Here is a 16,532-nt window from a genome sequence, read left to right as displayed (position 1 = left end):
TTCTATATGTTTTTCTAAATTTATATTTCCCTATTAAAGGGGTTCACTTATGATTGTCTTTGACAGAGTTCAGTTAGCAGTAAATAGTTTCTGTCATAAAAGTGGAGTATGTTAACATTATATTATATAGGAAAATAATAACAAAGAGTGAAAACAGTAAGAATAAAGAAGAAACCAGGCTCTAGTTAAAATGATAAGGACAGATTTTAATCAGTAGCACACTATTACAATAGGAAAATAATTCAATGTAAACTGAATTCAACTTTGATTTATACTAAAGTGTCTTGGTTTATTTATGCTGCTATAACAACATACCTGAGACTCAGTAATTTATGAAAATGAGAAATTTATTTTCTCACTGTTCTAGAGGCTGGGGCATCCAAAATAAATGCACCAGCAGATTCAGTGTCTGGGGAAGCCCATTCCTCATAGATGGTACCACCTAGGTGTTATCCTATGGCAGAAGGGATGACAGAAGGGCAAGAGAGTGTTCTCTTCAACCCCAATCCTTTTCCTAAGGGTGCTAATCCAAATCATGAGGGTTGGGCCTTTATGACTTAATCACCTCCCAAAGACCACATCTCTTAATACTGTTGCATTATGAACTAAGTTTTAATATGAACGTTGGAGTGAACACCATCATTCAAATGATACCAAAAAGCGACCAGGTGTTTTAAACAGAGAATATGGGAATAGGGAGGGAAGTGAGCAGGGGCTAAGCAGGGTCATGAAACTGAAAAAATTATAAAAAGTGGGAAGGGGGAGTAGGTCCATGTGAAGCTCACCTGGGTTTATTAAATGGTAACTTTTAAAAATTAAGCTCTTACACTCCAACAGAGGCTGAGAGACAGGGGCCTTAGCTTCAAATATTGGCTGGAACAAATAATAAGGTATTTTGGTAACCTTGAACTTTTTCAGGCAGGCACTTTAAGGGAGTCTAGGGTTAACCTAGGGAGGTTGCCTTTGCTGTTAAAAACGATGTTAGCATTTTATTCAAGTAGTGGGTCAAGATTGAGGCCTAGTTGAGAAGAGAGCTCAGAGGAGCCTGGCTAGGGTTTGGCCAAGGAAAGAATCTTTGTCACTCCCAGTATCCATTTTCTTCTTCTTTTTAATACTAGAATATACTACATTTTAGCTGATCCCATGGCTCCCTAGTTACAGACTAGCATTACTCACACCACTTGCTGCCTGGTGTGGACATGTTACTAATTTCTGGCCAATGAGCTGTAGAGGAAGTAATAAGTCCAGCTTTCAGATTATATTCTTAGGGATGTAACAACTTGTCATAGTCTTCATCTTGACCTCTTCTTGTTAACTAGAATGCAGTTGTGGTACATATCTGGCTTGAAAGTCAGGAGAATAACCTAGGAGATGGAAGAGCAAAAAGTTAGAAAGTACCTGTGCCTCCAGATGACACTGGCAAGCAGAGACAACCCATCAGCTTGGATCACTTGCCTCTGGACTCTCATCTGATAGATGAAAAAAATTACTTCTGTATTTCTTAAGGGATTGTGTTTTGAAGTATTCTGTTGTGGCTTTTAAACTCATACCCTAACTAATATAACAGTATAATAATATTATAATTTCCTGTAATAAATTATACAAAACATCGAATTGTTTTAAGTTTGTTTCTTAAGAGTGGTATGATTAACTAAGCATAGTTGTTGCATCCCAAAGTTATGTCTTTTGACCACTCCAAATAGCTTTGGACTAATTCTTATTTTACTTTTCTGTTTACATGATCCCTTTGCCGTTCTCATTACATTCTTTATGGTTATGTATTTCTTCTAATTTAATCTTCCTTGCCACTAGTATCTGGGGATGAGTCAAATTTCTGTGATTAAATTACATTTTAGTCCATTCTAGAATGTTAATAATAAAGTTCTGACCAGGTTTAACATAATAATGAGCAAAGTAATATTTGTCTCCTGGACACTTGTGATGGGCATTACATACCTTGTTGTTTCTCATTTATCATGCCCAATATTTCTTTTACTAGTAGGTGCTTTATTCACCTACCCCACACTGATTGACAATTTCAATTGATAAACTGGTTTTAGATCAATACTCCATCATAGAAGGAAGTGTATTAATGCTTTTAGTTTATTTTTAAAAGCATAAAAAAATTCACGGGCATTGTTATGGGCTGAATTTGTCTCCCCAAAATTCACATGCTTAAGTTCTAACTCCCAGTATCTTGAATGTGACTGCATTTGGAGACAGGGCCTCTGAAGAGGTGATTAAGGTAAAATGTGATCATAGGGATGGGCCCTAATCCATAATGACTGGTGCCCTTATGAGAAGAGATTAGAAGATTAGGTCAGAGACAGAGCACAGAAGAATATCATGTGAAGATGCAGAGCAAAGACAGCTATCTGCAAGCCAAGGAGGGGAGCCTCAGAAGAAAGTAACCCTGCTGACACCTTGATCATGGTCTTCACTTCTATTATCCAGGATCCAGAGAAAATAAATTTATGCTGTTTTAGCCACCTGGTCTGTGGTACCTTGTACAGCAGTTCTGACAAATCAATGCAGATGTATACAGGATTAAAGGATAGGTGTATAATAAAGTAAGTATAGTAAGATGTTAATGATAGAATCTAGGTGGTGGGTGTTCAGATGTTCATTGTAAAATTTTTATAAGTTTTTGGGATGTTTGAAATTTTTTATAGTACATCTTTTTTGGGAGAAAACTCTATTATAGAACTCATAATTTGATTTTACTCGTTCATAGCATATTTAATAGACAATACAGAAATTTATAACTTATAATTATTGTTTTACTCATTTTGAACTAACCCCTCCCTTTTTTTAGTGTCATTACGGACACACACCTCCATAAAATTCAATTTATTCCATCTGACTATAATGATTACTTATTTTACTATAATCATACTGTGACTATTTGACTTCTATGGATCTTCTCTTCTGGTTTGGCCCTCATTTCTCTGAACAGGTCCTTACTTTCTTGTAATATGTCCGCGATAATTTTTCCTGCCCCAGGTTTCTGTTTTTATTTTAAATCTACTTGCTTAAAAAATGACTTTCTTTAGGTAATTTGAACTTTTTTTTCCTAGCCAGTTGACCCAAAGACTTGTGAATTAATGCCAAAATGATAAAACTAATGTTATTACTTTTGAATTTACTCAAAACTAATCGGATCTGCTTCCTCTTTTTCCTGGAGGTCGGGAGGTCAGAGCCAGGGGTTGATGGGAAGTAATCTGCAATTAAGAGAACCCAGGTGTTCAGCTTTTTGCTAATTTATTTCCTCAGCAATACTTGCTTAGATACTGTCTTAAGGACAGTTGAATCCCATATGGTAAGTCACGATTGATAGATCATTTCACTGATTGCTGGAGAGATTTACAGAATTGTGGGGGTCTGTTCTGATTTTGTTCAGTTTGTTCAGAAACCAGAATGCATGTGTCTTTGCTGATGGAACATGATCCAGGCTCCTTTACGTTGTTTTCATTTGTTTCTTCTTGTGCAAAGAGGTAAATTAGTAGGCATACTCAACCCTATTTTTCATGAGGTGCTAGGGTTACTGCTACATATTAATAGTTGTGTTGGGTGGACTATGTCTGGGACCCAGGGCATTCACTGGTGTATGGCAAGTGGGAAATTGGGTAGCCACCGATTGACAAGAGTAAGGCAACCAAATACACAAACTACATGAGGAGTAAGTTCTGGTTCACTCTACTATGCAAGTAAGTTAGACTAGCTGAAGTGCTGAGTTGTGGTTAAATATATCTTAAATGGATGGTGAAGAAATGAAGCGATAAATATCAGACTGGGCCTTGGGACCTGCTGTAGCAACAGAGACTGTAGCTTTCTTTCCCAATAAGCCTATTGTCTTAGGTTATTGAAGCTGTCTACAAGCTTAAAGCAAACCTCAAGTCTGCACAAGTGTACTTTTTCAGGGAATATGTAATGGTATTATCTCTCAACAACAGAGACCCTAAATGTTGTAGCAAAGGAGCCAAATATGCTGGTGGAGCACAAGCAGATCTAGATGGCGTAAAGACTAGACACTGCTTAATATGTCACTAGAGATGCTCTTGGCCTCACCTGATTCCAGGCTCTTGAGCACTGCTGTGGTGCCTACTGACATGGAGGCTGTGCTGTGCTTCCCTGATACCCTCTGCCTCATTCTGCTTCTTTCACTCCCTTTCTAGGGTTGTTACCAAGAGCATTCCCCAAGAAGCCACTGTATGCAAATCTCCATCTCAGAGTTTGTTTCCCAGGAGCCCAACCTGCGACAGCTATGCTGTGGGCTCTGAGAAGCTTTCTCCAGGCACACTTGACCACATATCTTCTTATGCCAGTGCTGCAGGTTCCCTCACCTGCTGCCTGCTGTGACTTGAGACTCAATGGGCCCTCACTGGCATGCACATACATAACCAGGAAGTGTAAAGAAGCTAATGCTCCATGGGTTATACTTTTGATCAAAGGGAGATGGGAATTGGAAGATAAACTTTTCTACTCTCTTATTATTATGCACTGTCAGGGAAATATAGCTGATATTTAAATTAGAGGACTTTTACTGATAATATTTTTATAATATAGCTCTTTGTGACCTTGACAATGTTGACTGTACAGTGTTCTGCTAAAAACATCTTGCCAAAGTTGTAAGGACAAGTAGGTTACAGCACATGTTAGTTCTGTTTTACATTTACCTATCATCTGGATATTCCCCAGTACCATTACTTGTAATTCTCAGCCATCTTGGGTATATCTCTGAAGTTTTTGTTTCCCTTGTCTCCACTGGTGATGAGTAATGTTATGTGTCAGCATGACTGGACCATGCTATTGAGATGTTTGGTCAAACATTATTCTTAATGCTGTGAAAGTATTTTAAGATGAGATTAACATTTAACTCAGTGGACACATATTCTTAATGCTGTGAAAGTATTTTTAAGATGAGATTAACATTTATCTCAGTGGACTTTGGGTAAAGTAGATTATCTCCATAATGTGGGTGGGCCTCATCTAATCAGTTGAAGGCCCGAATAGAAAAAGATGAGCTCCCCTGAGCAAGATGGCATTCTGCCAGCAGACCCTTTCTGAACTTGAACTGTGACTCTTTTCTGGGTCTCCAGCCTGCAGGCCTACACTACAGATTTTTGAACTTGCCAAGCCTCCATAACTGTGTGAGCCAATTCTTTAAAATAAGTCCCTGTCTCTATGTATACATCCTGTTGGTTCTGTTTCTCTGGAGAACCCTTGCTAATACACTATCTTAGAACAAAAACACTTTCAATTAAAAATGGAGTAAACTTTCAGGCACTCTAATGTTATATTCTATAGTTACTTTTAACAGTTTAATGCCCTCAGAAATGGATAACATGCCAAAAAATATTTTTCCATTCTAATTTGGAGCATAAGATACTTTATTAATATGAAATCTCCAAGTTTTATTGTACACATATTGTCAACATCTTTTAATTTGTTGGTTTTCATGAAGATGTTTTAACATTAAGCCTCCAAAGAGAAAACATTTTCTATTTGTATTTGTAAACCTTTTGATATTAAAAAAATCACCTTTCACTAGATAAGCCACAGAATCTGTGACTTCAATATGTGGTTCTAAAGCAGGCCAGAAAATGGAAAAATTTTCTTCCAAAATTCAGCTAGGGGAAATAGTGTTGACAGCCATTGTTTTAAACATACTGACATTGATTAATGCCTGATCTATATCCTCTTCTCATTTTGTAAGCTATGGCCCAACATATCCCTTTTAAAAAAATGCCTGAAATATAAAAAATAATTATTGAAACACACAAGAGTCATAATTCAAAAATACAATGCGAATAATAATGATCCTCTAATTAATTCCATTTTACTCATGAGGACTGTAAGCCATCCTGGAAGTAATAAAAAGAATAGCATTTTGAAATTCTTACATATCTAGTTCAAACATTGCAACTAGTTTCTTCAGCCAGGTCACATATACATATACAAAGAAGTTTCAGAAAAAAGTTAGCTTACTGCTAAAAAATAGAAATGTGCCATTTTCACCCAAGTAAACTCTGATATCTTTGAAAATTATATATTTTTTAATGAGGTCTCACTACGTTGCCCAGGCTGGTCTTGAATTCCTGGACTAGGCAAATTCTACCTTGCTGGGATTATAGGTGTGAGACACTGCACCTAGCCAAAAATTATCTTTTAAAAGTCAATTAGTTATCAATGCAATTTTTTCAAATTTGTAGACTTGAGGCCAAAGAGAGGGATTTAACCTATACTGTGAGTAGTTGATTAGTTTATTAAACTTTTAGGTAAAATAATTTTTTATTATTACATAGGCATTATATCTTCATTCTATATGTTTTACCAAAGAATGGTGGGTGTTTGATGTAGCTACAATACAATTCACATATTTTAAGTGCACAGGTTGATGATGCTGACAAACAAGCCTTAAATAACAAGTGACACAATGAAGATATAAAATATTTCTACCTTCCTAGAAAGTTCTTTCATGCTCCTTTGCAGTCCATTGTATAAATGTGTTACATGGAATTATTTTACAAATTTAAAGAGTAACCAACATAGTACCCAATTCTAAACCAAGTTCCACAATTTTTCTGGTAAGGACCCTCTTCCTCAGTTCCTCTTCTATCAGCGAAGTCAGAGGACCCCTTGAAATTACTTGTTCCCCTTGTCTCATCTAAATAGTCATTTATTCAGTTTCCATTACCATATAATCCCTGCATATTTCACAGAAATATCTCCTACTTGCATTTGAAGGTGTAATTCCTTTTATTATGACAGAATATTTCCTTCTCTTCTCTTTCATCTTCTTTAAACATCCTCTATTCCCTGACTGCTTGCTCAGTCTTAAGCCACTGAAGCAAAGCCCACTTAATCCAGCACAGAGTCTCACCTTCAGGCTTATTACTTACCTTGCTGGCCTAGGTGGCCGCCACCTTTCCTGACCCATCGGGGGCTGGTGATTGAACACACATGGCATTGACCTGTGCATGACCCAGCACCAACCTCCCAGTCATGGTGGTCTCTATGCTGTTCACAGTCATTTTCCCCTGATGAATGGGGGGTGTGAGGAGAATGCCTTCTCTTCCACCCTCTCAAGCTCCCTGTGTGTTTGGTACAGCTCCCCACTAATCAGGCTATTGCAGCTCTTTCACTTTTTCAGGTTGAATAGCATCATGGGCAGAGAGGCAGTCTGCTACTATGTCTCTGTAAGCATTGATCTCTGCTCAGGACTGTTTTAAACTTCCTGCTATCCTGACCCTCATTTTGGTCTAACCCTACAAAAGAGCCATGTTTCCCTTTATGCCAGCTTTGAAGCTATTATCATTCCATTTTGGAATTAAACCCAAGACTATAATTTCAAGGAGTAACTTTTGAATTGCCTCTCTCCAGGCTCCCTTGTTTTTCTCCACCCCTGTATGCACAACTGGCCCTGTAGTTGGTCAAATGTATGCTGACTGTTAAGAGAGGCATCCCTCTGAGTAACTTTATCTTGGGTGGAAGTGGAGGCTCTTCGGGTGGTGCCAGTGCTAGATATTCGTCCTGGGCAGCTACATTCCTTGTGGCTTGGATTAGTCAAGCTGTGTAGCCAGTGTCCCTGTGGACATGGGCTCTCTCCCCGCTGACAAGGCTCTCCATTGGCTCTCTCCCTCATTTGGGTTGGTTAAGCCATTATCTCCATTAGAATAACCAGCAGCCATGTTTAACTCAGAGGAGCAACATGCCCCTTTCTGACCTCATACCGGCCTGTGCTCTTTAGGTGACTCAGAGTGTCATAGGTTGAGGTTCTTAGAAGTAAAGTTCTATACAAAGATTTGTGATTTAATGACGTAGTGTTTTTCAGTTCAAGAAACTATGAGGAACAGACCAAAGCCAAGAGCTAGGGAAGGGAAAGGAGGTGAGCAAGGATGTAGTGTCAGGATAAATCTAGCCTTGGTCTCACCTCCTGGGGGCAACAGAAGAAGGATCTCTAGCTCAAAGGGCAATATGGAGTTGTCTTGTCTTGAGGCAAGGTGGTGGCAAGCATTTGTACACCTGTCACAGATGCATTCATTGGCTCTGGCTGCTCCTGAGTGAGGAGAGTAGGACACACAAAGTTTTGGTTGGCCAAAGGCAGTTCTAAACAGATACACCTGTGCCCCATAGCAGCTGCCATCACTGGCAGAAGTTGGGGGATGTGTGGATCAGGCTGACAAAGAGGATCTGGGTGAGCACCACAGCATCTGCCTCTCATAGGTTTCTGAACCTGCAGTAATACAACCATGAATCATGCAACTGGTGAGGGCATAAGAATAGTTGAGCTGAGTGACCAGGAAAAGCCTGCTGGCTTGGGTTCATTGCATTTACAGCACTGTGCAAGGTGCGGGGAGGGGCAGTGTGGTAATCTCATCATTGTAGTTGTTTAAGCAGTTAGATAGGAGGCAAATTCTCCAGGTATGCCCAGCCTTTGCCTTCTTCCCCATGGATAGAGATGCTGTGCCAATGTTCTCCAGGGTTCTTAGAGCAGGCATGTTGGAGGGTGCTGGCTGGAGGTCTAGCATTTAAGCACATTTTCAGTGAGAAGCACACACTGGTAGATAATTGTTTACAAGAAGAAAAGGCTAAACCAAATGATCTGTCGGAAATGTATTATTTTCCAGTCAGCCAGACCTGAGAAGTGCTGTCAGTCAGCTGCAGGAAGCAGGCTGGGGGCTTGTCTGCACTTTACTTTTCAATTGTTTGGTGGTTGCAGGCTGCAAAATGAATTGCAGGAGCCCATTTGTAATGCATTCCCCATGCTCTTTGCTGGGATGCTGAGGAAGGAAACTGATATTTATCAGAAGACTGCTTTGACATAGGCACTGGGCTAAAATCATATGAATCTGATTATTATATTAGTCTAACATCATATGAGTCAGATAAGGAAGATGAGAATGAGAATGTTCAAATGGTTTATCCAGAGACAGCTAATACAACTAGAGGTAAGATTCACTTCCAGGCCCAAAGTCCTAAGATTTCTACTAAACACATTGCTTTCTAGTATAAGAAAAATTAAAAGGAGAACTAAGCTTACTCTCAAAAATCTGTCCCCAGATGTCTGCTGTGGAGTGGAGTAACTATATTTTCTCATACAATACACTTGTCTAAAAAACATGAGCATAAGGCAGAGGTTGACAAACTTTTTTTGGTAAAGGGTCAGGTAGTGAGTATTTTGGACTTTGAGAGCCATACAGTCTCTGTTGCGGCTACCCAACTCTATTGCTACAATGTGAAAGCAGCCATAGACAATATGTAAACAAATAGGTGTGGCAATGTTCCAATGAAACTTAAGGACACTAACATTTGAATTTCATATAATTTTCACTTGTCATAAATTATTTCTCCCACTCCTACCCCTGCAACCATTAAAAAGTGTAAAAACTATTCTTATCTTGCAGGCCATACAAAAACAGAAGAACAAGAGTTGGCGCACCTGCCACAGTTTCCTGATACACATACACACACACACACACACACACACACACACACACACATGATAACTTTTGGTGTTACTTTGAACATTAAACTCCTTGAAGCTAGAGAGAGATTTTTTTAATGCTGATTTATATATTTATCTCAGTTTTTACTCTTAATTTGTCTGAGGAGACAAATTACTTGTTTTTGTCACTACTGTTGCCATGTTTTATAGTTTATATATATATATGTGTGTGTGTGTATACGTGTATATATATGTGCGCATGTGTATATATGTACGTGTATATTTGTATATATGTACATGTATATATGTATATGTGTATATATACACATATATGTATATATGTGTGTTATTTATATATATATAAATGTGTATATATGTGTATATATGTGTATAATAAACATATACATATACACACACATATATATGTATATATGTGTATGTACATATACATATACACACACATATATATGTATATATGTGTATGTACATATACATATACACACACATATATATGTATATATGTGTATGTACATATACATATACACACACACATATGTATATATGTGTATGTACATATACATACACACACACATATATGTATATATGTGTATGTACATATACACACACACACACATATATGTATATATGTGTATGTACATATACACACACACATATATGTATATATGTGTATGTACATATACACACACACATATATGTATATATGTGTATGTACACACACGTATATGTATATATGTGTATGTACACACATGTATACATGTGCATGTACACACACATATGTATATATGTGCATGTACACATATATGTATATATGTGCATGTACACACATATGTATATATGTGCATGTACACACACACATGTATATATGTGCATGTACACACACATATGTATATATGTGCGTGTACACACACATATATGTATATATGTGCATGTACATATACATACACACATATATGTATATATGTGTATGTACATATACATACACACACATATATGTATATATGTGTATGTACATATACATACACACACATATATGTATATATGTGTATGTACATATACATACACACATATATGTATATATGTGTATGTACATATACATACACACACATATATGTATATATGTGTATGTACATATACATACACACACATATATGTATATGTGTGTGTGTACATATACATACACACATATATGTATATGTGTGTGTGTACATATACATACACACATATATGTATATGTGTGTGTACATATACATACACACATATATGTATATGTGTGTGTGTACATATACATACACACATATATGTATATGTGTGTGTGTACATATACATACACACACATATATACATGTATACACACATGTAGATATATATACATATATAAACATAGAAACAGTAGGAAAAAAACCAGTAATTTGTCTTAGACAAATTAAGAGTAAAAAATGAGACATACTGAACTGATAGAACACCATGTACCACATGCAGGTACATATGTATATCTATTTGTTGAAACAATAGCAGGCTTATGGACATGTTTAACTCAAATTTTAGTCTCAAATAGCACTTATGGGATTTATAGAATTAGGTTTTTGGCCAATTCCTTAAAATATCAAGATTGAGTAGTGGTTTATGTCATGTCAACACAATGGAAAAAGCCTTTAATGGGTTTCCATTATTTTGCTGTTTGGATAGTGCTTTGGAGTGAGCTAAATGGTAGGGGAAAAAAGTGACAAGTGTGGCCTATAGTTGGGAAACCATTTCTCACATTTCATGTTCAAAGAACTGACTGAAATAATGATATTAACAACTAACATTTAGGTAATGTTTCATTATTTACAAAATCTTTCCCATAAAGTATCTTATTTAATTCACACAAAGCTTTGCTAAGGGAGGCATTTCACTAATTTAACAGTGAAAATTGAGGCTTATAAAATTTAAATGTTTTGCCAGTGACCCATTTAGTAACTTATGTTTAGGACTGAAACTCAAATATTATCTGATTCTTAGTCTAGTATTCTTTCCTTTACACTTTGGGATGTTGCTAGGTGTTATATGAAAAAGAAAGTTCCATGACCAAACTATCTGAACAATGCTCGGGTAAACCACTGTGTTTACCCCAAGACTCCTCAAAACCTTTCATGAGCTAATGTAATATGTAGATTGACAAAATAATACTGACTGCAGTGTTTCCCAATTTATTTGGCCTCAGAATCCTTTCTTTTTCCACATAGAGTATTTTCTAGGCCACAGTTCCATAAAATAGGCTTTAGGAAGTATTGGTCCACACAGGAACTTGTAATAAACTTCTGATCTATGAACGGAACCACAAAGGACATGAACTCTCCTGTTACGGCATTCCAAAATAATAACATTTATTTTCAAGAAAGATACTTAAAATCCCATCTGAGGACAGAGTGATTTAAGGCAAAATTCTACCCACCAAATAATAGTTTAATTACTTTTAGGGCAGTATTTTTAATTGTGTATTATTAGGACTTGAGCAGTACTCGATTTCCAGTGACTGCCATTTCCCCTGCCTTCATTCCTTCCCAGCCATCCATAAATATGCATCCACCATGGCTCCAGTCTTCACAAAGTGCTCTTCAATGTTGACTCAAAGTTTTGGCTGGACTCAAAGTTCTAGCAGAATCTAAGTTCTAGAAGTCAGAATTTATAGGAGCTTGTGATGGTTAATACTGAGTGTCAATTTGATTGGATTGAAGGATGAAAATTATTGATCCTGGCGTGTCTGTGAGGGTGTTGCCAAGAGGAGATTAACATTTGAATCAGTGGGCTGGGAAAGACAGACCCACCCTTAATCTGGGTGAACACCATTTAATCAGTTGCCAGAGTGGTCAGAATACAAAAACAGAAGTGAATAGACTAGACTGGCTTAGCCTGCCAGCCTGCATCTTTTTCCCATGCTGGATGCTTCCTGCCCTAGAACATCAGACTTCAGCTTCGAGACTCAGACTGGCTTCATTGCTCCTCAGCTTGCAGACAGCCGTTTGTGGGATCTTGTTATCATGTGAGTTAATAGTCCTTAATAAACTTCCCTTTATATATCTATCTATCCTATTTGTTCTGTTTCTCTAGAGAACCCTGACTATTACAGAGCTCTTAAAGCAATCTCAATTGGAATTGGCAGTTTCCTTTCTCTGCCTAGAATTGTGTCCTATTGCCATTCATTGGAATAAGTAGATGTTCATGTTACAAATGTTCATTGAGGCATTACCATGTGCCAGGCACTGTCCTGGGTACTGATTATATAGTAATGGACCAGACGAAGTCTCTGCTGCATTCTATGCCCTTGCCACTTCAGACATAATCTTGATATTATCCCCTCTCCTTTGCAGGAATGCAGCTGCCTTACTCCCCATTTGGCTTAGTAGGTCCTTCTTTGGCCCTCTCTTTGTTCTGCCTTGCTGCCTATTGTGCCACTGAACTCACTGGAATGGTAAATGAGCTTATTCTCTTTTGCCTGTTCTAGGCAACTGATAGCAGCTTCTTAGAGCATGAGCTATTAAAGGTCTTCAAGGTGATATCAGGTCTCAGCAGCAGACAGTGTCATGATTGGTCATGGGTTATGGTGCAGAGGACTGGCAGTAGTACCCATGCCATTTATTTGATCCATCTGGAAGCAACAACTGTATTAGTCAGGGTTCTAAAGAGAAACAGCAACAATAAGATAGATTAGGGTGCACTGGTGTAAGTCCTGGAGGCAGAAGGTCTGAAAACCAGGACACTGATGCTCAAGGGTAAAAAGACAGATGTTCCAGCTCAAGAAGAGAGAGAGTAAATTTATGCTCCTCCACCTTTTTGTTCTATTCAGGCCTTCAGTGGATTGGATGATACCTGCTGACGTTGGTGAGGGAAGAACTTCTTTACTCAATCTACCGATGCTCATTTCTTCTGGAAACACCCTCACAGAAGCACACAGAAATAATGTTTTACCACCTATGTGGGCATCCCTTAGCCTACTTAAGTTGACCTACAAAATCAGCTATCACATGAAACCTCTGTTAATCATGTTAATCCACCTTCTGTTAATACTAATTATGACTACTATTGTTTGACCGAGGAAAGACCTTCCAGTTCTTTACTCAGGAAAAGAAAACTCTAAAAACCTTGTAAGTGACTTAACATATTGATAGCCTTCATTTTCTAGCTAGATAAAACATTTGGGTAGGAAGGACAGGGGATGTTAGAGGTGTTCCTCAAGGAAATAACAGCTAATTATAGTCAAAGGATGAGTCACATCAACATCGAAGCTATTGTTTAGAACTAGAAGGCAGCTTAAGAGACAATTCTAGGAATACAGTGATCGAGAGCTTGTGTTTCACATAGCCCTGGATAAGATTTAAGATTGGGCAAAGATCTCAAAACTCTCTAAGCCCCTGTGTCCTCATCTATAAACTAGAATAATAATGATATCTTTTTCACTGGGTGGATGTGAGAGTTAGATGAGTTGATGCACTTGGACTAGGGTCTGCCATACGAAATTGCTGAATTACATATTATTGCTTTATAGCCGTGTATTTATCAAGCACACACACTGGAAAATCCAACTCTTTTCAAAGGTGAAGAAACAATTCAGAGAAGTGAAAGGATTTTCTCAAGGTCATGCAGTCAGCAGGAAAGAGAGCTGGAATGCAGACTTAGGTTTTCTAAACCCAAGGGCACAGTTCTATTTATGGAAACAAAAATGAAACCAAATATCCATTTTGAAATTAAGGTCTGAATGAAAACTGGAAGATCCTGATCCTTACCCAGATCTTACAAAGAGATAAAATAAACATCTGACTATTTGGCGATAGCTGGATTAATGGCTGGTATTTTTGCTCACCTGTCTGAGGGATGCATTGTTGTCTTCGATGAGATTGATTTGTAAGTCCCTGCATTGCTAAACCACTCATCTCAATTTAACTATGCGATTTGGGAGTGTTGGAACTATGCCATTTTGCAAGAAAATGATTAAGACAAACTCTAAGAATATTGTGAACTTTATCAGGAAAATCAATTTGTCTAACAAGAAAGTGAATCACTATTGATTTTTTTCCCTCTAATTAGGCTCAGAGGCTTGATAGCTTTAACTAAGTGGTGGCAGTTTGCTTTCAGCAAATGTATTTTTCACTTTGCAGTGGAGCATAACATGCTCTCAAAAGCCTGTGCCACTCTTTGTCTCTTTTTCATTTGCCCAGTTCTTGAAGATTAGCGTGGAAACTTTTAGAAATTTCCTATCTGCAGTGACAAGTTGTTCATTATGCCTTTTGTTGCCCTGAGTGGGCAGTCTCTATGTTCCTGCAATATGTAGATACATGGGCTTGGAAAGAGACTGGACTCACAGAATAGGTGATACACAATAAGAAAATGTCTGAGACAACCAAGGTAATTAATGAAACAGCAAACTGTATGCTTTTGATTCAAGATGCCTGAATGGATGTGCTACATAATTTACAAGCATGACAGAAGCCAACACCTTCCTAGTTGAAAATGGGCATCTGAGCATATAAAAGCACAGGGCTGATTGCTGGCTGAAGCTTGTGGAAGATGATGGTTTTTTGGACCAGGTAGGATCCTTCTTGATAGGTTCTAGAAGGACTAAGGGCATTGCTAGGCATGTGTAGCTGGAGAGAGGCAAAGACAAGGATTCAGAGTGTCACTGAGTCCTTCTTCTCCAACACAAACCTTCTGTTTCTATTTCCTACAGCTAACATTTCTCATTTCTTTCTCTTCTTTTGTTTCCTTGTATTGTTTTCTCCAATTCAGAATATTGGCATTGATGTAATAGTTTCAATTACAGTAATATCTGTTGATTTTTTTGGATTTATTATTTAATTCTTCTTTCTGTTCTTAGATTTTTAGTCTTTTTGCTTCATTTCCATTTTCTTGTATTTTTTTTTCTTTTCTCTTCTATTCTACCAAGAAAGAAAGAGTTGACTCAGCAGGTCCGGGTTGCTCAAACCCTGGACATTCCCCAGGAAGGCCTGTTTTCAGAATTAGCACCTGGCTGGTTACTAAAGGAATGCATTCTGAGCCCTTGGATTAGTCTACTTGATAAGAAAATAGTATTGTATGTCTGAGACCTTGTGCCATGTGATCCAGTGTTAACAATATGATTTATAGTGAATGCCTGTTTTTGTATGCCTGAGGTCTTGCTATCACTGAGTAGCTGAAGTTAGTCAGGCAGCTGCTGCATGATGAGCTCCAGTGAAAACCCTAGACTCAAGCCTTGGGTGAGTTTCCCTGCTTGGCAAACCTTTGCATGTATTGTCATACATCCTTTCTGGGAAAATTAAGCACATTCATATGACTCCACTGGGAGAGGGCAACTGACAGCTGCTGCTTAGTCTCTTCTGGACTTCACCTCATGTACTTTTTCCTTTTGCTGATTTTGATCCATTTCCTTTCACTATAAAAAATCACAATGTGGTGATTCCTCAGGGATCTAGAACCCCAAATACCATTTGACCCATCAATCCCATTACTGGGTATATACCCAAAGGATTATAAATCATTCTAGTATAAAGACACATACACATGTATGTTTATTGCGGCACTGTTCACAATAGCAAAAACTTGGAACCAACCCAAATTCCCATCAATGATAGACTGGATAAAGAAAATGTGGCACATATACACTGTGGAATATTATGCAGACATAAAAAAGGATGAATTCATGTTCTTTGCAGGGACATGGATGAAGCTAGAAACCATTATTCTCAGCAAACTAACACAAGAAAAGAAAAGCAAACACCACCTCACTCATAAGTGGGAGTTGAACAACGAGAACACATGGACACAGGGAGGGGAACATCACACACCAGGGCCTGTCAGGGGGTTGGGGGGGTAGGAGAGGGATAGCATTAGGAGAAATACCTAATGTAGATGATGGGTTGACAGGTGCAGCAAACCACCATGTCACGTGTATACTTATGTAACAAATCTGCCTGTTCTGCACATGTACCTCAGAACTTAAAGTATATTAAAAAAATCACAACTGTGAGTACAATAGCTTCTTTGAGTCCTATGAGTCTTTGTAGTGAATTATCTAGCCTGAGGGTAGTCT

This window comes from Homo sapiens, chromosome 3 (assembly GCF_000001405.40).
Source record: "Homo sapiens chromosome 3, GRCh38.p14 Primary Assembly".
NCBI lineage: Eukaryota > Metazoa > Chordata > Mammalia > Primates > Hominidae > Homo > Homo sapiens.
Note: the sequence above shows the minus strand (reverse complement) of the source record.